Raw genomic sequence first — 19,984 nt, 5'->3', positions numbered from 1 at the left:
ACTTCCTGGCGGACGAGGATCAGGTTAGCCAGGAGTCGGGGCGGAGGGCTTGGGAAGGCCTGAGGCTGAAGTGAGAGAGGGTCTCTGGTCCATCAGCATCACAGTGAGGGCCTCTCAAACGGTCCCTGCCCAGGCCCCAGGTAGCAGCCAGCACAGGGCCTGGGGGCTGAGGGAGTACCAGGCAGCCACCCCAGGGCAAAGGGACTGGCCAGCCTGGTAAAGTCCAGGAGCAGACCAGCTGTGCCCAGAGCCCCCGATCCCTGGCATCATGGCACTGTCTAGGGCCGAAGAATTACCCCACCCCTCCGCCCGTTCCATGTTAATAAGGTGAATGCATCCAGAGCAATTGAATTGCATGAGGAAAAAGCCACACGGGAGAGGGCCATTTGCATGTCATCTGTATTGTCACATGAAATGCACATCCAAAACGGGTGACTTGGAAACGACCTATTAGGTCACACGGAGTCCGGCCCCTGGGGGCCAAAGCCTCATCGATGCCCACGGGCGGTGGCCAGCACTTTCCTCGGGCTGTGGCGTGTGCACCCGGCCTCCCCAGAGGAGAGTCAGCTCACACCCCAGGCCCTTTAGCTCTCTGGCAGCAGCTCCCAAAACGCACTTGAGGAACCAATAATTCCTTGGGGGTTAATAGCTGTTCCCCAAGAAAAGGGTTCTGTGGTCAAATAAGTTTAGAAAACATGGGTTAAAGAAGGTTTAGCAAGAAGCTTTTCTATAGGGCTTGTCAGAGCCTTTACGGCAATAACGGCCTTTGTGAATGTCCAACTTGGGGACAGAGTGTGCAGCACTTCCGAAAGTTATTGAACCACAAAACCCCTTTCCCCCAAAAGCATCTCGCAGGCTGGTGTCCCATGGGCACCCGTTGGAAAGTGCTGCCCTAAGCTGTCGATGACCGCTAATGGCAATGGCACCTGCATCAGGCAGTAGGTTGGGGGCATTTTGGCAGGCGTCGTGCTGTGGCGTGATGGGCACAGCCAAGAACTCAACAGTCATGATGATGAAAGGACAAGACAAGACTCGGCCCCTCCCACCATCCTGATTTTTGCTGTTCCCAGAGCAGAAGCTAAATAGGGCTGTCCCCATGGGTGGGTCCTGGCTGCCTAGAGAGGAGACTTGGAGTCCAAGCAAAGGGGCAAGAGGCCTGGCACTGCCAAACACGCTTGTCTCCGGGAGGGGTGGCCTGGGTTCGCCAGCCTCCAGCCAGGAGGGGAAGATGAGGTGGGGGTGGCCGCTCTGACTCCTGGCCGCTCTGTTCCACCCACGCCCGCCACCTCGCCACCCCCTGCCCCTTCTCTAGGGCCAGCCCTGCCCCCAGAGGCTTGTGTGGGCCGGCGGGCGCTTCACCAGGCAGAGATGAGCATCTGGCAGGTGCTGGAGGGCATCCAGACCAGCTCCACCAGACGGAACTGGAGGTAGCCGATGACAAAGCCGGAGAGGACGTCCGTGACGTGGTGGCGGCCGATCATCACGCGGGACAGGCCCACGCAGAGGGCCCAGAGCACCAGCAGCACACGCAGGGGCACCGCCAGCACCAGGTGGCTGAGGAAGAACTTGGACACCATGGCGGCGCGGCTGGCGTGCCCGGCCGGGAAGGCGTAGATGTCCATGGTGAGGTAGTCCAGGAGGCTGGGGCTCGTCTCGTACGGGCCGCGCCGCTTGATGAGCTTCTGCACGCCGGCCACCGTCATGATGTCCAGGAGCAGGGCTGTTGGGGGGAGACAGAGGCCCCTGGGCCATCAGGGCCACCAGCCAGGCCCAGGCCCTGGCCCCCCACATTTCCACCTCGCCTCCCCTTTCTGCTCCTCACTCAGGCCACTCAGCCACACTGACCCCCAGGCAGGGTCCCCTCTCAGGCTGTTGCCTTTGCTGTCTCCCCTGCCCGGCACATCCTGCCTTCCTGTAGCTACTTCCTTTAGCGGAGAAGCCTTCCCTGACCACGCTGTTTGTAAAAAGCCCCCACCACGCTGTCTCCCCTCACCTTGTTTAATTTTTTCATACAGCTTTTCTCATGCCCTGACATAATACGCATTTTATTTCTTTGGGTTTTTTTTTTTTTTTTTTTTTTTTTTTTTTTTTGAGACAGAGTTTCACTTTGTCAACCAGGCTGGAGTGCAGAGGTGAGATCTTGGCTCACTGGAACCTCCGCCTCCCGGATTCAAGCGATTCTCCTGCCTCGGCCTCCTGAGTAGCTGGGATTACAGGCACCCACCACCACGTCCAGCTAATTTTTGTACTTTCAGTAGAGATGGGGCTTTGCCATGTTGGACAGACTGGTCTCAAACTCCTGACCTCAGGTGATCCACCCGCCTCAGCCTCCCATTGTGCTGGGATTACAGGTATGAGCCACTGCGCCCGGCCCTTTTTCCTTTTTTTTTTTTTTTTGATACAGGGTCTTGCTCTATTGCCCAGGCTGTAGTGCAGTGGCCTGATCTTGGCTCACTGCAACCTCCACCTCCTGGGTTCAAGGAATTCTCATACTTCAGCCTCCCGAGTAGCTGGGATTACAGGTGCACACTACCATGCTTGGCTAATTTTTTGTATTTTTGGTAGAGATGGGGTTTTGCCATGTTGGCCAGGCTGGTCTCCAACTCCTGGCCTCAGGTGACCTGCCCGCCTCAGCCTCCCCAAGTGTTCACCCATTACAGGCGTGAGCCACTGTGCCCAGCCCCATTCCCATTTTTCAAAAATTGAAGCAAAATTTACATCTTGTACAGTGAACCATTTTAGAGTGCACGCTTCAGCGGCATTCAGCACATCACAATGTCAGCAGCCACCTCCTCTCTCTAATTTCAAAACATTTCATCATCCCAAAAGAATGCCCCATACCCACGAAGCAGCCACTCCCCATCCCCTTCTCTCCAGCCCCTGGGACACCACCAATCTGCTTTCCTCTAGAGGATTTGCCTCCTCTAGACACTCCATGTAAATGGAATCAGACAGCATGTGGCCTTTTGTGTCTGCCTTCCTTTCCTTAGCATAATGTTTCCAGCATCCACCCATGTGGCAGCGCTTCATTCCTTTTCATGGCCGAATAATATTCCACTGTATGGATGGACCACTATTTGTTCATCTTCTCTTTCTTTTTTTTTTTGAGATGGAGTCTCGTTCTGTTGCCCAGGCTGGAGTGTGGTGGCATGATCTCGGCTCACTGCCCACCTCCCGGGTTCACGTGATTTTCGTGCCTCAGCCTCCTGAGTAGCTGGGATTACAGGCGCACGCTGCCTCGCCTGGCTAATTTTTGTATTTTTAGTAGAGACGGGGCTTTGCCATGTTGGCCAGGCTGGTCTCAAACTCCTGACCTCAAGTGATCCGCTTGCCTTGGCCTCCCAAAGTGCTGGGATTACAGACATGAGCCACCGCGCCCGGCCTCTTTATTTTATTTGATTTTTTTGAGACAGAGTCTCGCTCAGTCATCCAGGCTGGAGTGCAGTGGTGCCATCTCGGCTCACTGCAAGCTCCGCCTCCTGGGTTCACGCCATTCTCCTGCCTCAGCCTCCTGAGTAGCTGGGACTACAGGCGCCTGCCACTACGCCTGGCTAATTTTTTGTATTTTTAGTAGAGACGGGGTTTCATCGTGTTAGCCAGGATGGTCTCGATCTCCTGACCTCGCGATCCGCCCGTCTTGGCCTCCCAAAGTGCTGGGATTACAGGCGTGAGCCACCGCACCTGGTGTTTTTTTTTTAAGAGACGGATGTCTCTGGCTGGGCACGGTGGGTCACACTTATAATCCCAGCACTTTGGGAGGCTGAGATGAGCATATTGCTTGAGCCCAGGAGTCCGAGACTAGCCTGGGCAACATGGCAAAACCCTGTTTGTACAAAAAATACAAAAATTAGACATGTGTGATGGCATACGCCTGTAGTTTCAGCTATCAGGAGGCTGAGGTGGGAGGATTGCTTAAGCCCAGGAGTCTGAGACCAGCATGGGCAACATGGCAAAACCCCATCTCTACAAAAAAATACAAAAATTAGCTGAGTGTGGTGGTGCACGCCTCTCATCCCAGCTACCCAGGAGGCTAAGGTGACAGAGTGAGACCCTGTCTTAAAAAGAGAGAGAGAGGGAAACAGAGAGACAGAGATGGTGTCTCTTTCTGTTGCCCAGGCTGGAGTGTAGTGGTGCAATCATAACTCACTGTAACTTTGAATTCCTGGGCTCGAGAGATCCTCCTCCCTCAGTCTCCTGAGCCACCGAGACTACAAGTGTGCCACCATGCCCAGCTAATTAAAAAAAAATTTTTTTTTTACAGATGGGCATCCCACTTTGCTGCCTAAGATGGTCTCAAACTCCTGGCTTCAAGCTATCTTCCTACCTCAGCCTCCCAAAGTGCTGGGATTCCAGGCGTGAGCCACTGTGCCCGGCCACAATTTGTTTATCCATTCATCTATTGATGGCTATCGAGTTGTTTGCGCCTTTCGGCTGCCGTGACTCATGCTGCTATGCACGTGTGTGCAAGTGTTTGCCGAGTGCCTGTTTTCAGTTCTTTTGGTAGATCCCTAGGACTGGAGTCGCTGGTTGGTAATGACAGTAACTCTGTGTGTGACTCTTTGAGGAACCCCACTGTTTTCCCCAGCAACTGCGCTGTGTCATTCCCCCCTTTATAGAGGACAAGATGAACCCCTGGAGCTCAGAGCACTCATACCTGAGGCTCTTGCTTTCTGGAATGTTCCACTCTTTCCCAACTCACCACCTCAGGGACCTGCCCCGGCCTTCCAGACAGCTCAGGCCCTGAATGGTTCAGTCTCAACATCTGGCCCTCTGTTTCGTGGCTTTTCCCCCGCAGTCACTGAGGCATCTGTTGGGAGGTGAGGGTTCGCTGTCTGCGGCATGAAGTCATCACTTCGTGGAGGCAGGGGCTGTGCCTGTTTGTTCATAGGTTTTTTTCCCCGTGGCTAGAAACAGAGCCACAGTCTCCAAACGTAGTTGAGTTACTGGCCTGAGGCTCATAACCAGCGAGGTGGGCTCTTTCCTTCCTTTTCTTTTTCTTTATTTTTTTGAGACAGAGTCTCACTCTGTCACCCAGGCTGGAGTACTGCAGCATGATCTTGGCTCACTGCAATCTCCGCCTTCCGGGTTCAAGTGATTCTCCTGCCTCAGCCTCCCGAGTAGCCAGGACAACAGGTACCTGACACCACGGCTGGCTAATTTCTGTATTTTTAGTAGAGACGGGGTTTCGCCATGTTGGCCAGGCTGGTCTCGAACTCCTGACCTCAAGGGATCTGCCCACCTCCGCCTCCCAAAAAGTGCTGGGATTCCAGGCGTGAGCCACTGCGCCTGGCCTTTCTTTCCCCATTTCGGAAACACAGGGGAGACCTGGATCTCCATCGTGTCTCTGCCACACCCTGCTGTGTGGCCTTGGGGGGCTGCTCCGCCTTTCTGTGCCGAGAGAGGAAGGCACCATGCCAGGACCCCAGTTTCACCCAGCTGATCTGAGTGGCACCCAGACCGCCAATGTGGGGGTTCCAGGTCAACCCTCCACACCCTTAGAAAGGCCCTTGGGGCTCACACCCTCTGACCTGGGGGTGGGGGTGGCATCAGCAGGCCAGACAGCACCCCCAGGGCAGGTACAGAGTCGGCAGGGAGCCCGTGCCCCTGCCCCCTGTGCTTCCCCATCTCAGGTGACCTTGGGGACCCCAGTGAGGTCACAGCTCCTGCAAGCCCTGCCTCACGGACAGTGAAGACAACACCCACAGTGCAGTGTGGTGGCAAAGCTCACAGGCATCACAGCCAGAGACCCAGCTGTGAGCTCCAGCCCTGGAGCCTCCCAGCTGTGTGACCTCAGGCAAACCACCTAACTTTCCTCACCTGTGAGACGAAGCTCAGGGACACCCACCTCCCAGAGGGGGCCAGGCACCATGCCTGCAGGCAGGTTGCTGACTGCAGGGTGACAAGGTTTCACTGGGACAGAGGGGTTTCCTAGGACACAAGATATTCAGTGCTAAAGCATGGAAGTCGCAGCAAATGATTGAGTTGGTCCCCCAAACGCCTGGCCCACCAGGAGGGCTGGATAAAGGTGGGGGGTTATGACTCAATGACAGTTCAGTGCAGCCAGATGCTGGGAGCTTTCCTAGAAAACTTTTCAGTATTTATCGGAATGTTCAGCTCTTGGCAGAAATGGAAAAAAAGTAAAAAAAAAAAAAAAGACACAGAAGATGCTATTCACTGCAGAACATTTACAAAACAGAAAACAAAAGTTAGAGTTTAAATCACCTGTAATCCTGCCCCTCAGAGGTAGTCATTGTTCCAGACCTTTCCATCCACTTATAGAGCACAGCTTTTTTTTTTTTTTTTTTTTTTTAAGACAGAGTTTCCCTCTTGTTGCCCAGGCTGGAGTGCAATGGTGTGATCTCGGCTCACCACAACCTCCGCTTCCCAGGTTCAAGCGATTCTCCTGCCTCAGCCTCCCGAGTAGCTGGGATTACAAGTGTGTGCTACCACGCCCAGCTAATTTTTCTATTTTTAGTAGAGATGGAGTTTCTCCATGTTGGTCAGCCTGGTCTTGAACTCCCGACCTCAGGTGATCCGCGCACCTCAGCCTCCCAAAGTGCTGGGATTACAGGCGTGAGCCACCGTGCCCGGCCTTTGGAGCATAGATTTAATAAAGCTTGTAACATGGTTTGCATATGTTGTTCTGCTGCCTGCTTTTGAAAGTCTTGCACCATCACATACCCCCGATCCCCTTGCTGCAGGGTGTGAGGCACTGTGGTGCACCTAACTGTCCATGCCAGGCAGTTAGACTGTTCCAGATCACGCAGTCCTCCCTGGAGGACTAGAACTTCAGGGCTTCCCCTTTTCCTGCCCACTTCAGGGTTGCTGCTTGTAGTCTGGTCTCTCTGTTTGGGGTTTGAATCGTGGCATCTCCTGGCCCCTCTCATTAGCCACAGGGCTGGCTGAGAGCCTTGCACCCTGGAAGTGCCTGGCCAGCACAGGAGGGGGCTGAGCAGGTACACAGAGGAGCTGGCTGGCCCAAGGAGGGCGGGGCCTGAAGGCCTCGAGAAAACCTTGCTCTACCCTTGCCTGCCAATTTCACGGCAGCTGTTCCCCTGGGCTGGGTCTTCCCAGGAGGTGGCTGGGGAGGCGTGTGGCTGGCCAGCTCGTGTGCTGACCATGCCCGGGTTTCGTGCCATCTGAAGCCTGTGGGAGGTCACAGTTCCAGCAGGAGAGAGGGACTGGGGACTGCCAGGTCCCCAGGGCAGGCGGGAGAGGGAGGTAGCTGTGCTGACCTTGGCATCCCTTCGCCCCATGAAGCAGCTGAGGAAGCCAGCTTAGAGGGGCCAGCTGGTCCTCTCCAGCCCAGGGAGCCCTCTCATCTGCAAGCCCCACCACTTCCCCAAAAATGGCCTGGTGACAGGCTTTCTCCACCTGGCGAGGGAAGGCAGTTCATGGGGAGGGGGTTAAATCTGAAGGCTCTGGAGTCACAGGTGGGGTTCAAGTCTCACTGGCTGGGGCTTTGAGGAGGGGTCCTGGTGCTTCTGGCCGAGGGGTCGACCCTGCTAATTAAGAACAAGTTCTGGCCGGGCGCAGTGGCTCACGCCTGTAATTCCAGCACTTTGGGAGGCCGAGGTGGACGGAGCGCCTGAGGTCAGGAGTTCGAGACCAGCCTGGCCAACATGGTGAAACCCCGTCTCTACTAAAAATACAAAAAAATTAGCTGGGCATGGTGGCGGGCACCTGTAGTCCCAGCTACTTGGGAGGCTGAGGCAGGAGAATCACTTGAACCCGGGAGGCGGAGGTTGCAGTGAGCCAAGATTGCGCCACTGCACTCCAGCCTGGGCGACAGGGCGAGACTCCGTCTCAAAAAAAAAAAAAAAAAAAAAGAACAAGTTCCTTCCCCTCTCAGCGCCTTGGTCTACTCACCCATAGCAAGGGTGGTCCCAGGAGGAAATAAGCCAATGAACCGGGGAGGAGTGTGGTGGCTGACAGCATACTGCTGCCATTACACTGCCTGTGAGTCCTAGCCCCGCCTGGCCCGGGAAGCTGTGGGAGGCTCTGGTCCTGGAGGCTGGGGCACCGTGCAGGAACACCAGCGAAGGCTTTTTTTCCTAAGGTCCCACCAGGGTCAAAATTGTCTGGCCCAGGTTCCAAGACCTCCACCACCTCAAGACAAGTAAGAGAGGCCAGGCCAAGCAAGGCCTCCTGGTGGTGGTGGTTGGTGACTGGTGGCCAGCCAGGGTCTGGGTGCCCGAACAGCTGCCAGAATCTGGGGTAGGGGGTGGTTCATGCAGACCAGGACTGGGCTCCATGGTAGGCTGAAATATGACACCAGCCACTGGAAGGCATGGGCCATCTGTCCTACTGGTGACCAGGTCTTTAGGTTGAAAACCAGGACTCAGCAGCTGATGGGTTCAAAATCTGCCTTTCGAGGCCAGCGCGGTGGCTCATGCCCGTAAGCCCAGCACTCTGGGAGGCCGAGGTGGGTGGATCACCTGAGGTCAGGAGTTCGAGACCAGCCTGGCCAACATGGAGAAAACCCATCTCTACTGAAAAAACAAAAATTAGCTGGATGTGGTGGCAGGCACCTGTAGTCCCAGCTACTTGGGAGTCTGAGGCAGGACAATCGCTTGAATCTGGGAGATGGACGTTGCAGTGAGCTGAGATGGCACCACTGCATTCCAACCTGGGTGACAGAGCGGGACTCTGTCTCAAAATAAATAAATAAATAAATACATAAATAAATAAAATCTGCCTTTCCAGCACAGGGCCCTAATGGACAGCTGCTGTGGTCAAGGAAAATGTGGGGAGGAAAGGCTGACTTTACTAAGTCACCCGGGGGGTACACTGGGCCCAGCACCTCAACTCTGATGGGGTGGCCAAAGGCAAGGAGGGCTGGGTGCCTCAACCTCCCCACATGCCCCAGCTCTCTGCATGGGCTGTCAGGATCCATAGGCCAAGAACTAAGCTAGACCCACACCTTCCCTTTTTTTTTTTTTTTTTTTTTTTTCTGCTTTTGAGACAGTGTCTCCCTCTGTTGCCCAGGCTGGAGTACAGTGGTGCAAACATGGTTCATTGCAGCCTTGAACTTTTGGGCTCAAATGATCCTCCTGCCTCAGCCTCCCATGTAGGTGGGACCACAGGCACAGGCCACAACTGGCTAATTTTTTGATTTTTTGTAGAGACAGTATCTCAGTTTGTTGCCCAAGCTGGTCTTGAACTCCTGAGCTCAAGTGATCCTCCCACCTCAGCCTCCTAAAGTGCTGAGATTACAGGTGTGAGCCGCTGTGCCTGGCTCCTTTCAAATCTCTAGCAGCAAAACATTGCTTTTCCCGATGAAAGCATACAGACTCGGTGTAGGAAACAGAGTAGCTGGGACTAAATAAATAAAATAAAATAAAAAGATGATAGGCCAGGAGGGCTCTCCCTTTATGAATGGATGAATGCAGGTACCAGGGGTGGTTCCTGACGAAAGGGTGAGTGTGGTCACCTCCTGCCCTCCCAGGCATGTGCTCCCTTGCACGTGATGCAGAAGGCAACAGGGAGCAAGAAGGCCCTCACCAGATGCGGCCCCTCAGCCTTGGACTTCCCAGCCTCCAGAACCATGAGCCAAATACACTTCTATTCTTTATAAATCAGTGTGTGGTATTCTGTTACAGCAGCACAAAATGGACTAAGACGCCCCACAGCTGTGCCTTTGGGAAGCTGTGGCTATTTCAGGCTGGTTCCCTCTCTTCAGGCCATAATGACGGGGGGTATCTGCCCCCTTTCTTCCCTGGGCCCTGCGGGGACCATAGGGCCCAGCCTGGCTCTCCAGCTGGGTTGACCCACCTAGCCTGTGCCTGGTTCATTCACTTTTCCACCCTTTCTTGGGCACCGCCGGTTCTTGGGTATTTCAGGCGTGTGTCAGGCCTGGCACTGTGAACGAGGCTGGCAGGGTCTCCTATGGCCAAACGGGACGGTGGGCAGTAAGCACATAGTGACACAGAGCGTTACTCTATCACAGGTGTGACGGGGTGCGTGGCTTTTCGCCCTCACCATGCCGCAGCCGTCTGGCCGGGAGGGTTGTGAATGGAAGAGGCAGTGGCCCGCCTGCCACCCTCAGACCACAGGGCAGCTCTCCAACAGAGCCGTAGTCTCCCCTGGGCCTCCCACCCCACTCTGCCCTTTCCTGCTGCCCCTGCAGGGCCTCTCTTCCTCCTCCAGCGCAGCCAGGCCTTGAGTGACTGTGATTCTGACACTGTGAGCGCATCATCTGGTGCCCAGAAATAGAAGCAAACGGCACCATCACTCAAGGCTGATTCCGCCCACATGGCCCTGTCCAGTCGACCAGTTGACTCAAGGAGGGCAAGGAGACCCCTGTGAGGGGAAAGGTCCACCCAGCAGGAGGCTCAGGGGCAAGAGCCGGGGAGCTGGTGGGAGCTGCACTGCCCTGGACCTGCTATGTGCACGTTTCAGGGAGGTCACTCAGCCTCCACTGGCCTCCACTCACTAGGATCACCCAGGGCGCACTCAGGCTCCAGAAAGAGACCGGCTTCAAGGTCGGCCACTTGTGGACAGCAAAACCTCGGTGTGTCTATCCCCCAGAGCTCCCTGCCATGGATACGCTGGGATGCCAAGGGGCCTGCTCTGATGCTTGTGTATAGCAGACACTTGGTAATGGACCCCCGGGACCATGTCAGAGGACACCAGGGCTTGTCCACCACCCCTCACGCTCTTCCGTCCCAACCAGCTCCACTTTCCGCTCTTTGCACAGGGTTGGGGCCTGAATGTCTGAACCCCCCATGCAGGAAGCACAGCTGTCCCCGGGGCCCTGCTGTCCTGGAGGCTTCCCGGCCCTCAGAGGGCAACAAGAACCCACCTCGAGGCCCACCCTTCTCCCCTAGCCCAGGTCCCTCGGGGTTGGTGGTGGCCAGGGAACCAGAGTGCTGGAGGCTCCCAGAGGCCAGGCAGGAGCCAGGGCTTTCTTGGAGAAGAGCTGCTGCCATCCTGGAAGATTTGGAATCATCTCCTCCTGAGGCCTCTGAAAATTAGAACATCACTTGTCTGCCAGCAGCTATGTGCACTGCGGGAAGAGGGGCAGCTGGGGTGACCTAGTGTGGCCCTTTGTGGCTTTGGGCTGCTTTCCCCCTGAGGACGCACTCTGTGGGACCAGCTCAGAGCAGGGCAGGGTCTTTGGGGAGTTGGGGCTAGTGGGGTAGGGGTGGGAGGTGAAGGCTGTGGGCTCAGCTGTTCTAAAGCAAGGAACAAGGACGGGGCTTCTGGGATGCCCTGCAGGCTGCGAAGGGCTGGGTTTGTGGGCAGATGTCTCTCTCCGGCTGGGTTGGGAGGAGGGGTCCCAGTGCTCCTGGGCTGGGAAGTCAATCCTGCTTCTCATCCCCCATTCTGGCTTCCGGAAGGTTGGGAGCCAGCCATATACTGCCCAGGGAGTGTGTAAATCGGTCTGAACTTCCCGAAGGGCATTTGGCTTCGGAATCAGAACTCTCCTCCACGTGTCTCCCTTGGACTCAGCTCTTCCCCTTGCAGGAATATCTCCTTGGGAAATCGTTAGGGATGTGGGCCATGATTCATGGCCCGGGATGTTCACTGCAGCATTGTTTATAACACCGAAAAACGTGAAACGACCCAGCGCCCTTCAAGAGACAGACAGGACAAACTGTGGCCTAATCTAGACACCAGAGCATGCTGTGGCCACTGCAGATGATAAGGCCCATGTATATTTATAGCCCGACTATATCAGAAAGCCATGGGGTATGTTAAGTGGAAAAGGCCACTTATAAAATAGGATTTCCAGTAGGATGCCATCTTCATAAAATAAGATATGTATGTAAGCAAACGTGCTTATATACAGAGAAAAAAATCTAGAAGCTACTGCTCTAAATGCTAACAATGCTTCTTGCTGGGCAAGAGGATTAGGGGTGATTTTTACTGACTTCTTGTAATTCTGCACTTTAAAATCTTTCTTGCCACAAGCACGCATTATTTGTGCACATTTTTAAAAAGTTATTTTTACAGGCTAGGCACAGTGGCTCACGCCTGTAATCCCAGCACTTTGGGAGGCGGTGGCAGGCGGATAGCTTGAGCTCAGGAGTTCGAGACCAGCCTGGCCAACATGGTGAAACCCCGTCTCTACTAAAAACACAAAAATTAGCCAGGTGTGGTGGCAGGCACCTGTAATCCCAGCTACCCAGGAGGCTGAGGCAGGAGAATCACTTGAACTTGGGGGACAGAGGTTGCAGTGAGCTGAGGTCGCGCCACTGCCCTCCAGCCTGGGTGACAGAGCAAGACTCTCTTCAGAAAAAAAAAAAAAAAAGACTCCACCTGCTAAAGCCAGCTCTCCCTATCTTTGAAGACCAGTGGTGTGCAAAGCACTCAGGATCATCAATAGAAAGACTGATGGCGCTGGTTATTCACTCTGCTGAGCACCAGGTCCTGCTAGGAGCAGGTCCCAGGGACATGAAATCACTAGCTGTGCTGGTGGGCAATGCTGATCCAGACCCTGCCTACTGGCACCACAAACTATTGCATTTCTCTTGCATCCGCTGTGTGGACAGCTGCCAGGGCAGTGTATTAAGGGGCCCTGACCTGGCCTGGGGGTGGCCAAAGGCCCCCCTGAGGGACTGACTGTTGCACTGAGGCCCACTGAGATGCTGAGAAAGGAGGCTGGGGAGGGAACCCCTCTACTTCCGAGGAGGTAGCATGTGCGGTTTCCCACAGGAGGGTATCTGAGCGAAGATTTGGGATCAGCCTAAATACCCCTCAGTTAGGAACAGGCTAGACAAGCCTCGTGGAGAGGCTGTCACCTAAATTGTCCCTGAGAGCAAGAGCCAGAGGGCAGGGGATGGGAGAGCTGCCAGAACAGATTATCTGGAGCATCTGAACCCCTCATGCTGGTGCGAGGGACATGGAGGGTCCAGATCAGGATTCCAGGTGGGAGGGCCACAGCTGTGAGAGTGAGGCCAAACCGGGCAAAACACAGCCTGAGAAACACATCACACATTAGCATTCGCACGGGGAAAAATCCAGGGGCACGTGACCCAAGCTGCGGCAGAGGCTCTTCCTGGGAGAGGGTTTAAGGGAGAGGCTCACTTTCTTCTTGATCTAGCCTTGTAATCATTGCATTTTTTCTTACTACAAGAATGTGTAGGCTGGGCACCGTGGCTCTCGCCTATAATCCCAGCACTTTGGGAAGCCAAGACCGGAGGATCACTTGAGGTCAAGAGTTTGAGACCAGCCTGGCCAACATGGTGAAAGCTCATCTCTGAAAAATTAGCCAGGCATGGTGGCAGGCGCCTGTAGTCCCAGCTACTTGGGAGGCAGAGGCAGGAGAATTGCTTGAACCTGGGAGGCGGAGGTTGCAGTGAACCGAGATCGCATCACTTTACTCCAGCCTGGTGACAGAGCGAGACTCTGTCTCAGAAAACAAACAAACTAAAACCCCCAAAACGAAACAAAAAACAAACAAAAAATACCCAAAACCACAAGAGATACCACCTCATACCCATTAGGATGGCTCTGATTGAAAAACCAGATAATGAGTGTTGGTGAAGATGTGGATATATGGGAGCCCTTGGGCATTGCTGGGGGAATGTAAAATCACGCAGCCGCTGTGGGCAACAGTAGGACAGGTCCTCAAACAAGTCAACACAAAATTACCTTGTGATCCAGCAGCTCGATTCCGAGTATACAACCAAAATAACTGAAAGCAGGGGCTCAAGAAGATGCATATACACCTGTGCGCACGGCAGCGTTACTCAGAACAGCTAAAATGTGGAAGCAACCGAAGTGTCCATGGGTGCACGAATGGATACACGAAATGTGGTCCATCCTGTAACTGAGCATTATTCAGCCTTAGAGAGGAAGGAAATGCCGGCGCCCGCTACAGCATGGATGGACCTCGAGGATATCATGCTAAATGAAATCAGCCAGCCACAAAAGACAAATACAGTACGATTCCACTTACTTGAGGTCCCTAGAACAGTCAAATCCACAGAGACAGAGTGTAGAATGGAGGTTGCCAGGGGCTGGGGGAAGGGGAGTGGGGAGTCAGTGCTTAATGGGGACAGAGCTTCTGTGTTTTAAGATGAAAGATGAAAAGAGTTCTGGAGATGGATGGTGGTGATGGCTGCACAACAGTGTGAATGGACTCAATGCCACTGAACTGTACACTTCAAATGACTACAATGATCAATTTTGTGTGATGTATAGCTTATCACAATAAAAAATGACATAAAAATGTAGTTTTCATAGCCAGGCGTGGTGGCTCACTCCTGTGATCCCAGCACTTTGGGAAGCTGATGCAGGTGGATCATCAGGTCAACAGTTCAAGACCAGCCTGGCCAACATGGTGAAACCCCATCTCTACTAAAAATACAAAAATTAGCCAGTCGTGGTGGCGGGCACCTGTAATCCCAGCTACTCGGGAGGGTGAGGCAGGAGAATCACTTGAACCAGGGAGGCAGAGGTTGCTGTGAGCCAAGATCACAGCACTGCAGTCCAGCCTGGGTGACAGAGCGAGACTCCGTCTCAAAAAAAAAAAAGTAGTTTTCATATTCAGGAAAATCTCAATAAAGATACTTTTTTTTTAGACAGAGTCTCACTCTGTCGCCCAGGCTGGAGTGCAGTGGTGCGATCTCAGCTCACTGCAAGCTCCGCCTCCCGGGTTCATGCCAGTGAGCCAAGATCACACCACTGCACTCCAGCCTGGAGACAGAGTGAGATTCCGTCTCAAAGGAAAAAAAAAAGATACTTTTATAGGCCAGCACAGTGGCTCAAGCCTGTAATCCCAGCACTTTGGGAGGCCAAGGTGGGTGGATCACCTCACGCCTATAATCCCAGCAGTTTGGGAGGCCGAGGTGGGTGGATTACCTGAGGTCAGGAGTTCGAGACCAGCCTGGCCAACATAACGAAACCATGTTGGAGAATTGCTTGAACCCGGGAGGCGGAGGTTGCAGTGAGCCAAGATCTTATCACTGCACTCCAGCCAGGGCAACAGAGACAGACTGTGTCTCAAAAACAAACAAACAAACAAACAAACAAACAAACAAAAAGATACTTTCATAAAGGACATAGATCAAGGAACAAGACCAGAGGCATTTCCCACCACAGGACAGGCCCATGAGGAAACAAGGATGGGCTTAGTGAACTGGGATGGGCCTGGTCACCTGTCACCTGTCACCTGGCTCCCTTCGGATCATCAAGCTGGGTGCTGCTCGGGAGGGAGAAGGGGACAGGTGGTCTCAAGGCATCTAGAGCTTGGAAGGTACCTGGCAGGAGGCTGGTCCTGGACTTCTGACAATGATGACGGTGATAATGATGATGATAATCATTGCTACTTAACCGTTAACCAACATCAGTAAGTGCCAAGCACTTCATGTGTGATTCATCAGGGAGATTTCCCAACAACCCACCTGACAGATGAAGAAACTGAGGCTCAGAGAGGCAAAGTCACTTGCCTGAGTTCCCACAGCAGGGCTGGGATTTGCACTCAGGTCCGGCTGCCTGTGGAGTCCAAACTTTTGCCTGCTGCTAAGACCCCTTCTGGCTCTGAGCTTTCTAGAGTCTTGACAGTGTGCACTAGGAGAGGGGCAAGCAGGGAGGGCATGGGACTGCTTGCCAAGCAGGGAGCATGCAGAGAACTTCCCCAGGCCCAGCAGGACCCTTCCTAGGCCTCGTAGCTGCAGCTCCCATTTCCCAAGCTCCCAAGTCTGCCTCTTCAGAGCCAAGTGGAACCCAGGTCCCAACTGCAAGCTCGGAGGTCTTGCTCCCAGCCCAGAGACTGCCCCTGGGGGTTAGCTGAGTGCCACGGGGCCAGAGCGGGTGGGCAGGGCTAGGTAGGGCTCCCTCCCCCTTCAGTATTGCAGTGATGTCACCGTGTGGCATGGCACCCACCATGCCAAATGCTTTGCCATCTCCCTTCACATCCCTGCCACATCCCCCTCAGCCCCCAGATAGGGAAACTGAGGCTCAGAGACAGGAACTGACTTGAGCATGTGCGTACAGCAAGTAAGGGTCAGAGCAGGGACCTGGACAATAGCCAGTCTCTCCCCAGAGCCTGTGCTCCAGGGTTGAAGGGTGCCCTCCAAAGACAAAAGGACAGATGGAACCTGCAGCGTGTGCTCAGTGGGCAGTCTGCTTTCCCCGGGGCAGGGGACTGTGGGACCTTCCTTCCTGGCAGGTCAGACCAGAGCTGCAGGATTAGAGCCTGCCTTGGCCATTTGCTGCAATTTTCTCCCACCAAGCCGAGGTCTGGGCTGGCATCCCCACAGAGTGACCTCGGGGTCCCCAGACCCACCCGGCCTGCTCTGTGGCCTATGCTGAATGCCTGACTTGTGCCAGGCCCTATGTCCCCATGGCCTCAACACCTGGATATGAAGACAGTCAACCTCCTCCCAGATCATTCCCCTCCGCAAAGCACACACGCTCCAGGAGTGCAGTGAACACGGGTGATATGCCCGACCTGCAGCCCCACGGTGAGCAGCGAGGAGTGGGGGGGTTTGCAGTCACGGGGCCTTGGATTTACTTCCTGAACCTACCGCTTATAGCTGTATGGTGGGCAAGTTGCTTGAGCTTTCTGAGCCTCAGTTTACTCATCTGTAAAATGGGCATATTAATATTTACCTTGAAAGGTCATCGACAGCTTTTTTACATCATAAAATACAGGCCGTTCATGCCATTGTCTTTGGTACATAATAAAGCTCAATACATGATGTTTTTAAAGATTTTTAAAAATGTCTATCACTTCTGTTCAAGGAGGAAGGCAACTCAAATCTTCATCTTTATCCTGTGGGGCAAACAGCTTTGTGCCCATGGCAGCTGGCTGCTGGAATGAGCCTGAAGCCTTATCTTAACAAGTAGGTTGCAAATTTTTCAATGTTTGGGGCAGGGGAAATGTTCTTAAAAGCAAACATTCCTGTAAAAAAAAAACAAAGCAGAGCTATTTTACTTGGTGATGTGAGGCAGCTTGCTTGCATACCTCCTACCACGGGGAGCTCACCCCCTTACTAGAGCATCCACTGACTGTGGGTAAGTTGAGATGCACCTCCTTTCTTCTCTGATCCTCCCCCTGCTGGAAGCTTCACACAGTCTGAGCTGGTTCCCTCTCCCTCTCCTCTGAAAACGCAAAGCAAAGCTAGAGTTGCTCCTGGTTCTGCTCCTGGCTCCATCACTGACTAGCTGCAGGACCTTAGAACCATCGTCACCCCATGCCTCAATTTCCCCCTCTTTAAATGGGGAATAATAACAGCACCAAGCTCCATGGGTTATGGTGAAGATCAGAAGTAATGATATGGTTTATGCAAAGCCCTGGAACACGGTAAGCACTCAACCAATGACATCTTCATCACCTCCCTTGTCACATGGGGAAAGAAGGTGGGAAGGAAGAGATGGGGTCAAGGGAGCAGGGTTGAGAGACAGACTGGAGTGTATGCCTTCCCACCCCATCTTCTGACAGCAGGCAACCTACCTCTCTAAATCCCAACAGTCTTCTTGAGCCACGTGGCCCTGTGTGAAACTGTGGATAATGAGAGCAGGTTCTGCCCCTGGAAGCGCCTGGCCTAGTGCCTCGGCCACTTTGCTCTGTCCCTCCCTCCCACGCCCATGGCACAGCACCTGGAAGAGCAGAGGCCTGTGTGTCAGCTGGAGCCAGTGCAAATCTCAAGCCCTGAGGCTGGGCCAGGTTGCTTTATTTATAGGAACCTCAGTTCCCTAATCTGTAAAATGGGCATGATAATGGCACCAACCTCGTGAGACTGTTTATTCAGGAGTAAATCATAAGTTATTGTAATGTAAATAATTTAGTAATAAGAACAAGAAAACTGGCCAGGCACGGTGGCTCATGCCTATAATCCCAGCACTTTGGGAGGCCAAGGCGGGTGGATCACCTGAGGTCAGGAGTTTGAGACCAGCCTGGCCAACATGGTGAAACCCCATCTCTACTAAAAATACAAAAATTAGCTGGGTGTGGTGGTGTGCGCTTGTAATCCCAGCTACTTGGGAGGCTGAGGTAGGAGAATTGCTTGAACCCGGGAGGCGGAGGTTGTAGTGAGCTGAAGGTTGTAGTGAGCCAAGATCGTGCCACTGCACTTCAGTCTTACAGCCTGGGTGACAGAGCGAGACTCTGTCAAAAAAAAAAAAAAAAAAAGGAACAAGAAAACCTCGAAGGTGGCAGACCCAGCCATCTCCTGCATGAAGTATCCAATGGTTTCTGCCTCCCCGAGTCCCACCCAGAGAGCATAGAGCCTCCAGACTGAGACTAGAGCAGGGAGATACGTGTTTTTATTGTAACTTCCTCTGGAACTGATGTTCTCCGTGGTCCAACCCAATGCCCTTTTGGAACTGAGACCCCTTGTTAATGTTTGCCTTGCCTGAGACCTCCACCTCACATGTCCCTCAAATGATGGCCACACCGGGAAAGACAAGGAAATCGATGCGGGCCTGGCGTGGAGGGTGGAAGCTTCCTGGGGCACCTTGGGGACCTGGTGGTGCCCGAAGGGTGGGCCGGACGGGGGCTGGGCATCACCTCTGGGTGGAGGGAATGGCTTGCCTCCACATGGGCCCCACGTGGCACCTGGCACAGGGCGGTGCTAATCTGCAAGACATTGGTGGCAAAGACTTTGCAAACAAACAAACCCACAACTGGCCCCCCGAACCCTTCTCCAGTGACTCCCCCTGGGAAGGAGCAGGGAAGAACTCCAGGGGGCTGTGAGTGGGTGGCAGTCCCAGGGGAACTCCCTGGGTCCCCAGACCCTGGGGAAGAAGCCTGGGCAGCTTTCCCGGTTCCTGAACCGAGGCGGGAGGTGCTCATGGGGCAGCTCACGGGAACAGCCTGGCTGGGAGCTGTCAAGGAGCGAGGACCTCAGCCGTGGGGCAGGAGTCAAACAGTGACACCCCATTCCAGGATGCCCACCAGAGCCCTGACCGTCTCCCTTGAGGCCACCGCCTCTGGCCCAGCCTCCCTTCAAGCTGCCTCTGGGCAGCGGTGCCTTTTGCTGAGCAGGTCCTTCTCACAGGGCCGCAATGGCCTCTGTCTTCATTTGGCATGTGGCAGGAGAGCCTCGTCTATGCATCCCTGGCTGTCGCTCCCCCACGCCGGAGCCTGCCTGTTTCTGGGGCACCCTTCCTGCCTAACCTCATTAGACCATCCCAGCCGGTTTCTGAGGGCTGTGCAGGTCCCGGCCAGGGTGGGGTTGGGCAGGCCAGGCTGCCTCCCGAGGGGCCTGACAGTGAGTGGCGGGCGGCAGGCACACTCACCCAGGAGCAGATTCATGAGCACCTCCTGGCCGGCCAGTGTGCTGCTCTTCACCAGGCAGAGGATGGTGCCTCCGATCCAGGGGATGCCGTGGCCCGTGATGCCGATGAGCTTGACCATGGAGCGGGCACTGGCCCAGGACGCCGCCCGGCCAGCGCACACCCCCAGCCGCTTGGACATACAGATATCGATGGCCAGCAGGGAGTTGAAGGCGATGCCCTTGAAGGAGGGGTTCAGCTGCATGCAGTCCTCCTCTGGCAGCTGCTGTGACTGGCGTCGCTCTCTGGCCCCGTCACCAGCAGGTGGGGGCTGTGCTGATGGGCCCGAGGCCTTTCTGCCCGAGCTGCGGGGCTCCGGGCCCCCCTTGGGGGGCTGGTTCAGGGACAGGAACTCAGCCCGGTTGAGGACGTTGTTGCGGTCCCGGGCACGGGCCCGGCTCTGGGAAGCTGGCATGGTGACCTCGCTCACCCCGAGAAGGCCGATGCCAGCCCGGCTCCAAGGGCCTTCTCCCCGAAGACAAGAGCTGCCCCCAGAGCCGCCACCGTGGCTGCCTCCCTGCCTTCTCCGCCGCAGCTGTTAAATATAGTGTGGAGAGTTGCACATGGCTGTTTATCTCCTCTGCCACCCAGCTCCAAGGGGACGTCAGTGCCAGCCGGGCAGCCAATCGAGCCCTCCAATGCGGGGCCTGCACCAGCAGAGCCTCCGGGAGGTGAGGAGTCCACAGCTGCGGCCTGGCTGCCTCGGGCCTGGGCTATTTAAATCGGCCAATGGCTCATCCCTGGGCTTGGGGGA

At 54.7% G+C, this 19,984-nt stretch overlaps 1 protein-coding gene across 3 annotated transcripts, besides 3 other annotated features; it reads right to left on the bottom strand.

The window, feature by feature from the left end:
• Positions 1-381: 381 nt before the first annotated feature.
• On the bottom strand, positions 382-19,920 carry PLPP7 (phospholipid phosphatase 7 (inactive)). Of its 3 annotated transcripts, none has more exons than NM_032728.4 (2): positions 19,195-19,920; positions 382-1,720 (listed from the first exon to the last, which is right to left on the bottom strand). In NM_032728.4, the coding sequence occupies exons 1-2, from the start codon at positions 19,643-19,645 to the stop codon at positions 1,356-1,358; spliced, it is 816 nt and encodes a 271-aa protein (NP_116117.3). In that variant the 5' UTR covers positions 19,646-19,920; the 3' UTR covers positions 382-1,355. The 3 variants fall into 3 exon arrangements, with proteins under 3 accessions (NP_116117.3, XP_005272287.1, NP_001397950.1); XM_005272230.5 differs by lacking the exon at positions 382-1,720 and adding an exon at positions 16,650-16,855; NM_001411021.1 differs by lacking the exon at positions 382-1,720 and adding an exon at positions 18,198-18,532.
• Positions 7,654-8,153: an enhancer, noted in NCBI's record as "H3K4me1 hESC enhancer chr9:134176877-134177376 (GRCh37/hg19 assembly coordinates)". NCBI's record gives its function as "activates a minimal SCP1, AML or CMV promoter by ChIP-STARR-seq in naive H9 embryonic stem cells {active_cell/tissue: H9 hESC(naive)}" and the evidence as "EXISTENCE:reporter gene assay evidence [ECO:0000049][PMID:30033119]".
• Positions 8,154-8,655: an enhancer, noted in NCBI's record as "H3K4me1 hESC enhancer chr9:134176375-134176876 (GRCh37/hg19 assembly coordinates)". NCBI's record gives its function as "activates a minimal SCP1, AML or CMV promoter by ChIP-STARR-seq in naive H9 embryonic stem cells {active_cell/tissue: H9 hESC(naive)}" and the evidence as "EXISTENCE:reporter gene assay evidence [ECO:0000049][PMID:30033119]".
• Positions 12,207-12,501: a silencer, noted in NCBI's record as "tiled region #12946; K562 Repressive DNase matched - State 8:EnhW". NCBI's record gives its function as "represses a minimal TATA promoter and a strong SV40 promoter by Sharpr-MPRA in K562 cells {active_cell/tissue: K562}" and the evidence as "EXISTENCE:reporter gene assay evidence [ECO:0000049][PMID:27701403]".

Source organism: Homo sapiens, chromosome 9 (genome assembly GCF_000001405.40).
Source record: "Homo sapiens chromosome 9, GRCh38.p14 Primary Assembly".
NCBI lineage: Eukaryota > Metazoa > Chordata > Mammalia > Primates > Hominidae > Homo > Homo sapiens.
Note: the sequence above shows the minus strand (reverse complement) of the source record. Positions and strands in the feature narration are given on the sequence as shown.